At 45.5% G+C, this 7395-nt stretch overlaps 1 pseudogene; it reads right to left on the minus strand.

The window, feature by feature from the left end:
- RNU6-1148P (RNA, U6 small nuclear 1148, pseudogene) lies at positions 341 to 444 on the minus strand (annotated as a pseudogene).

Consider the following 7395-nt stretch of genomic DNA (forward strand, 5'->3'; position numbering starts at 1 on the left):
TAGGGCAGCCAAGGCAACTTTCCAGTTTGTTCCAGCAGGGCTGGAAGTACCCTTAGATATCATCTTGTCCAGGTATACTACTTTACAATTGAGGAGGAAACTCAGGCTATGAGGAGAAGGGAGTTAATGGCAGATGCAGAGCTGAAGACTAGGCCTCCTGATGGGGTGACAGCCATCCCAGTTTTCCTGGAACGCAGGACTTTGTCCAGGGGAAAACAAGATGAGCTGGTCACTCTGCCTGTTGGTTCTGGCTGTCCAGTGCTCTTTTAAATGTCTCCAGGGAGTTGCATGGTCCCAGGTTTGGGAAGAACCTTTGTCTGTTTCCCATGACTTTCAAAATTTACACTTAAGAAGCTTCATAAATTTGCATATCATCCTTATGCAGGAGTTATGCTAATCTCTATATCATTCCAATTTTAGTATATGCACTGTCACAGCAAGCACTCCTCACAGGATTGTTAAGGGTGCCTACTGCCCATTTCCCTGCATCCCCTCTCCCTTGTTTTCTCTAGGAAAGCTGAGTTTGCAGAGGAAGGCAGGGTGATAATCACTTAGGAGTTAAGAGGGAATGTCCTCAGTTCTGGAAAATCAAGAACTCCTGCTTCCATTTCTGAGTGGAGAAAATGATGTCCAGAGAGTGAAGCAGTATCCCTCACATCACATGGAAGGTCAGAGCTGGCCTCTGAGGTGGACAGCTCCTAAAAAGAGGTGATTTCAGGGATGGCCCTGACTGCCCCTCTACACCAAACCCCTCTTCTTCCTACTGACTCAAGCCAATGATTTCATCATCAGAGTTTCATTCCTGCAGCTTAAACCAAACAAAGGCTATACTTTTATTAAATGTAAATTCTCTGTGAAAAGATTAAGAAGTTTTCCATCTCTCGGCTGGGCACAGTGGCTCACACCTGTAATCCCAGCACTTTGGGAGGCCAAGGCAGGCAGATCACCTGAGGTCGGGAGTTTGAGATCAGCCTGACCAACATGGAGAAACCCTGTCTCTACTAAAAATACAAAAAATGAGTCTGGAAAGTGAGGAGCGTCTCTGCCCGGCCGCCATCCCATCTAGGAAGTGAGGAGGGTCTCTGCCAGGCCGCCCATCGTCTGAGATGTGGGGAGCGCCTCTGCCCTGCCGCCCCGTCTGGGATGCGAGGAGCGTCTCTGCCCGGCCGCCCCGTCTGAGAAGTGAGGAGACACTCTGCCTGGCAACCGCCCCGTCTGAGAAGTGAGGAGCCCCTCCGCCCGGCAGCCACCACGTCTGGGAAGTGAGGAGCGTCTCCGCCCGGCAGGCACCCCGTCCGGGAGGGAGGTGGGGGTCAGCCCCCCGCCCGGCCAGCCGCCCCGTCCGGAAGGGAGGTGGGGGGGTTAGCCCCCCGCCCGGCCAGCCGCCCTGTCCGGGAGGGAGGTGGGGGGGTCAGCCCCCCGCCTGGCCAGCCGCCCCGTCCGGGAGGTGAGGGGCGCCTCTGCCCGGCCGCCCCTACTGGGAAGAGAGGAGCCCCTCTGCCCGGCCAGCCGCCCCGTCCGGGAGGGAGGTGGGGGGGTCAGCCCCCCACCCGGCCAGCCGCCCCGTCCAGGAGGGAGGTGGGGGGGTCAGCCCCCCGCCCGGCCAGCCGCCCCATCGGGAGGTGAGGGTTGCCTCTGCCCGGCCACCCCTACTGGGAAGTGAGGAGCCCCTCTGCCCGGCCAGCCGCCCTGTCCGGGAGGGAGGTGGGGGGGTCAGCCCCCCGCCCAGCCAGCCGCCCCGACCGGGAGGTGAGGGGCGCCTCTGCCCGGCCGCCCCTACTGGGAAGTGAGGAGCCCCTCTGCCCGGCCACCACCCCGTCTGGGAGGTGTACCCAACAGCTCATTGAGAACGGGACATGATGACAATGGCGGTTTTGTGGAATAGAAAGGGGGGAAAGGCGGGGAAAAGATTGAGAAATCGGATGGTTGCCGTGTCTGTGTGGAAAGAGGTAGACATGAGAGACTTTTCATTTTGTTCTGTACTAAGAAAAATTCTTCTGCCTTGGGATCCTGTTGATCTGTGACCTTACCCCCAACCCTGTGCTCTCTAAAACATGTGCTGTGTCCACTCAGGGTTGAATGGATTAAGGGCGGTGCAAGATGTGCTTTGTTAAACAGATGCTTGAAGGCAGCATGCTCGTTAAGAGTCATCACCACTCCCTAATCTCAAGTACCCAGGGACACAAACACTGCGGAAGGCCGCAGGGTCCTCTGCCTAGGAAAACCAGAGACCTTTGTTCACTTGTTTATCTGCTGACCTTCCCTCCACTATTGTCCTGAGACCCTGCCAAATCCCCCTCTGCGAGAAACATCCAAGAATGATCAATAAAAAAAAAAAAAAAGTTTAAAAAAAAATACAAAAAATTAGCTGGGCATGGTGGCACATGCCTGTAATCCCAGCTACTCGGGAGGCTGAGGCAGGAGAATCGCTTGAACCCAGGAGGCGAAGGTTGCAGTGAGCCAAGGTCGCGCCATTGCACTCCAGGCTGGGCAACAAGAGCGAAACTCCGTCTTAAGAAAAAAAAAGAAGTTTTCCATCTCTCTGAATGAATGACTTTCTCAGAAACTCTGACCACTTCCCTGCCTCTGCAGTGCATTCATTCTAGTCTGCGGTTCATAGCTGAGGCTCACATGCTGTTGTTGGAGACCTAGCTCTTCAACACTTTGCATTTCCTCTGCATATCCCGCTTCCATGTCATTCACAGGCTGAGGACATCTCTCCATCCGCTCCCATTATAGGGCCACATGAGTGCAGTGTCTCACAGGGTATGTCTAAACTCCTCTGCTTACTCAGGAAGACCTTCTATTGCCTGATTTGCTAAAGGATATGCTCTGGAGGGCAGGGTGCTGGTCAGCCGGTTAATAGATACATTCCCGGCATCTAACCTGGTGCCTGGTACTTAAAATACATATTTTTTGGCCGGGTGTGGTGGCTGATGCCTGTAATCTCAGCACTCTGGGAGGCTGAGGTGGACGGATCACTTGAGGTCAGGCGTTCAAGATCAGCCTGGCCAACATGGTGAAACCCTGTCTCTACTAAAAATACAAAAATTAGTTGGGTGTGATGGCAGGTGCCTGTAATCCCAGCTACTTGGGAGGCTGAGGCAGGAGAATCACTTGAACCCAGGAGGCAGAGGTTGCAGTGAGTCGAGACCATGCCATTGCACTCCAGTCTGGGCAACAAGAGTGAAACTCTGTCTCAAAAAATAATAATAATAATAAATAATAATGATATTGTTATCTTTTTCATTTTCATTTTTCTAATGATTAGTGACATTGAACATCTTTTCATATGCTTGTTGGCCATTTGTACATCACCTTTGGAGAGATGTCTATTCAAGTCATTGCCCATTTTTAAATTGTATTTTTTGTTGTTGTTGTTGAGCTGGAGGAGTAATTCCTCTCTTACATAAACTGTTCTAGATCACAGAAGAAAATTGAAAATGTATCTTTCAGTTTATGGGACTAGCAAAATCCTTTTACTAAAACCTGACAAAACTAGTTTGAAGAGAAAAAAAGCATAGACCAATCTCACTTGTGAGTAAAGAGCATAAATCCTAAATAGGATATTAGCAAAGAGAATCTAAAAATATATTAAAGGAAAAACACATGATCCATTAGGATTTAGCTCAAGATTCAAAGATTTTTCAATCTTAGGAAATGTATTAATTCATTACATTGCTGGCATTAATGGCAATAACCAGCTAGAAAATAAATCAGAAATAAAGATTCTTTATATGAAAAAGACTATAAAGGTTTTCTGAAAGACATAGAAAAAATCTGAATAAAGGGAAAGGCCTACTGTGCTACTGGATGGAAAGATTAAATATTATAAAAATGTCAATTTTCTCCTCAAATTTATCAATAAATTTAGAATAATTCCAATTATAATCTCAATGATTTTTATTTGACAATTTGATTATAAAGTTTATCTAAAAGATATAAATGTATTACACAAGAAAATTCTGGAAAAGAATAAGGAGGCACTTGTTTTATTAAATAGTAAAATATGCTATGACAAAAAAGCAAAAAAAATGCTATGATTACATAGTAGTAAAATGTGCATTTTTTTTTTATTTTTATTTTTTTGAGACTGAGTCTTACTCTGTCATCCAGCCGCTGGAGTGCTCAATCTCGGCTCACAGCAACCTCTGCTGCCTGGCTTCAGGCGATTCTCCTGCCTCAGCTTCCCAAGTAGCTGGGATTACAGATGCCTGCCACCACACCTGGCTAATTTTTGTAATTTTAGCAGAGATGGGGTTTCACCATCTTGACCAGGCTGGTCTTGAACTCCTGACCTCGTGATCCACCCGCCTTGGCCTCCTAAAGTGCTGGGATTACAGGCGTGAGCCACTGCGCCTGGTCTATTATTGTTATTGTGTTTTTTTTTTTTTGAGAGAGAGTCTCACTATGTTGCCCTGGTTGGAGTACAGTGGCACGATCTCTGCTCACTGCAACCGCCGCCTCCTGGGTTCAAGCGATTCTCATGCCTCAGCCTCCCAAGTAGCTGGGATTACAGGCATGTACCACCATGCCTGGTTAACTTTTTGCGTTTTTAGTAGAGACAGGGTTTCACCATGTTGGCCAGGCTGGTCTCGAACTCCTGGCCTCAAGTGATCCACCTGCCTCAGCTTTCTAAAATGCTGGGATTGTAAGTGCTGGGTGAGCCACCATGCCTGGCAAAAGTGTATTATTAGCAAAAGAAAAGACAAAGATACATGAAATAGAATAGCGATTCCATGGCTAAATCTATGGATGTATGAGAATTTAATAGGTGGCATTTCTCATTTTTAAAAAAATTTTAATTGTTTTTTTTTTTTTTTAAGTAGAGATGAGGTCAGCCGGGCGCAGTGGCTCACACTTGTAATCCCAGCACTTTGGGAGGCTGAGACAGGCAGATCATGAGGTCAGGAGTTTGAGACCAGCCTGGCCAACATGGGGAAACCCCGTCTCTACTAAAAATACAAAAACTAGTTGGGCGTGGTGGTATGCGCCTGTATTCCCAGCTACTCAGGAGGCTGAGGCAGGAGAATGGCTTGAACTCAGGAGGCGGAGGTTGCAGTGAGCTGAAATCGTGCCACTGCACTCCAGCCTGAGTGACAAAGCAAGACTCCATCTCAAAAAAAAAAAAAAAAAAAAAAAAGGTAGAGATGAGGTCTCGTTATGTTGACTGCGCTGGTCTTGAACTCCTGGCCTCAAGCAATCCTCCCATCTCGACCTCTCAAAGTGCTGGGATTACAGGTGTGAGCCACCATGCCCGGTCTGCAGGTAGCGTTTCAAATCAGTGGGGAAATTATAAATTATTCAATAAATTGGGTGGCAATTGCCTGCCTATATGAGGTGCAGGGGATAGACGAAAGGCAAGCCCCATATAATATACAAAAGTTAGTTACATATATAAAAGGTCTATAATTAGAGAATAAAATCACAACAAAAGAAAAAGAAAATACAGAACATTTTTATCGTATTTAAATGAGGTAGTTTGTTCTATTCATGACTCAAAACCTAGAATACTTAAAGGAATAAGTTAACCAAAACAGAAAAAAAATTTTAATTTCTTTAGAGAAAAAGACAACATATTCAAAATTAAAAGTTGGGCTGGACACAGTGGCTCATGACTGTAATACCAGCACTTTGGGAGGCTGAGGCAGGAGGATCAATTAAACTCAGGAATTTGAGATCAGCGTTGGCAACATAGTGAGACCCTATCTCTAAAAATTAGCCAGGCATAGTGGCATATGCCTATAATCCCAGCAACTTGGGAGGTTAAAGTGGGAGGATTCATTGAGCCTATGAGCTTGAGGCTACAGTGAGCTATGATCACACCACTGCACTCCAGCCAAGGTGATAGAGCATGACCCCGTCTCCAAAAAAAGAAAAAAAAAGGCAAACAATACAAAGGAAAAAAAATTTTGCAACATATTCTAATATGTTAATAATTGGCTTCCACAAATCTGTAAGAAAAATAAGTGTAAAATAAAAGTGGTCAAAAAAAAATGTGCATAATCATTCCATAGAAGAAGAAATATAAACAGATAATTAACATATAAAAAGGTGCTCCACCTCACTAATAATAAAAAAATACAAGTTAAAATTAAATATTTTTCACCTATTGAGTTATAGACTAAAAGACCTAAAAGACCTCTCTGGCAAAACTAACTAACCCTGGAAAAAAGGCTTAAAGATACTGATGCTTAGGATTCCCCAGTGAACTGGCTAGGAGCCTATCTTATGCCTCTGGAGTGAAGCACGCTATTCAACAAGCCCCATCCAGATACAAAGAGCTTTTAGTCCCTCATTATTAAGCCTGAATGCACAGCCAAGCATCACTAGACTTTTGAGAAAAGGCTCTAAGATTATAGATAAAAAGGAATTTGGAAGAAGAAATAAAACAGGAAACAAAAGTTTTAAAAATTGTATCCTTAGAGATTTAAGAGAAGATATTGCAATCATGAAATAAGAACATACTATGATAAAAAAGAAATATTCAGGCCGGGTATGGTGGTTCACACCTGTAATCCCAGTACTTTGGGAGGCCAAGGCAGGCAGATCACCTGAGGTCAGGAATTCGAGAGCAGCCTGGGCAACATGGTGAAACCCCATCTCTACTAAAAATACAAAAACTAGCCAGGTGTGGTGGTGCAGGCCTGTAATCCCAGCTATTTGAGAGGCTGAGGCAGGAGAATTGCTTGAACCCACCAGGCGGAGGTTGCAGTGAACCAAGACTGCACCACCACATCCCAGCCTGGGCGACAGAGTGAGACTCCATCTCAAAAAAAAAAAAAAAAAGAAAAAAAGAAAAAAAAGAAAGGAATATTCAGAGAGTAAGGGAAAAGGCTTAGGTATTAAGTATTTGATACAGAAATTTTTAGAAATTCAGCATAATGGTGGGAAGATAAAATTGAGGCACTCTCCTAAACAATAGAACAAAAAAATGGAAAACAGGAAATAAAAGATAAGAAACTCTCCTAAACAATAGAACAAAAAAATGGAAAACAGGAAATAAAAGTTAAGAAAATGAGAAAATTAGTGCAGGAGGTCCAATATCCCCTCCCCCTTACACATCCAGAAATAACTGTAGAGAAAGAGAACATAGAAAATTAAGGCCAGGCATGGTGGCTCACGCCTGTAATCCCAGCACTTTGAGAGGCCAAGGCAGGTGGCTCACTTGAGGTCAGGAGTTCAAGAGCTGCCAGGCTAACATGGTGAAACCCCATCTCTACTAAAAATACAAAAAATTAGCTGAGCATGGTGGCGGGCTCCTGTAATCCCAGCTACTCAGGAGGCTGAGGCACAAGAATCGCTTGAACCCCAGAGGTGGAGGTTGCAATGAGCCAAGATTGCACCACTGCACTCCAGCCTGGGTGACAGAGCAAGACCCCATCTCAAATAATA

This window comes from Homo sapiens, chromosome 5 (assembly GCF_000001405.40).
Source record: "Homo sapiens chromosome 5, GRCh38.p14 Primary Assembly".
In the NCBI taxonomy this organism is placed as follows: domain Eukaryota; kingdom Metazoa; phylum Chordata; class Mammalia; order Primates; family Hominidae; genus Homo; species Homo sapiens.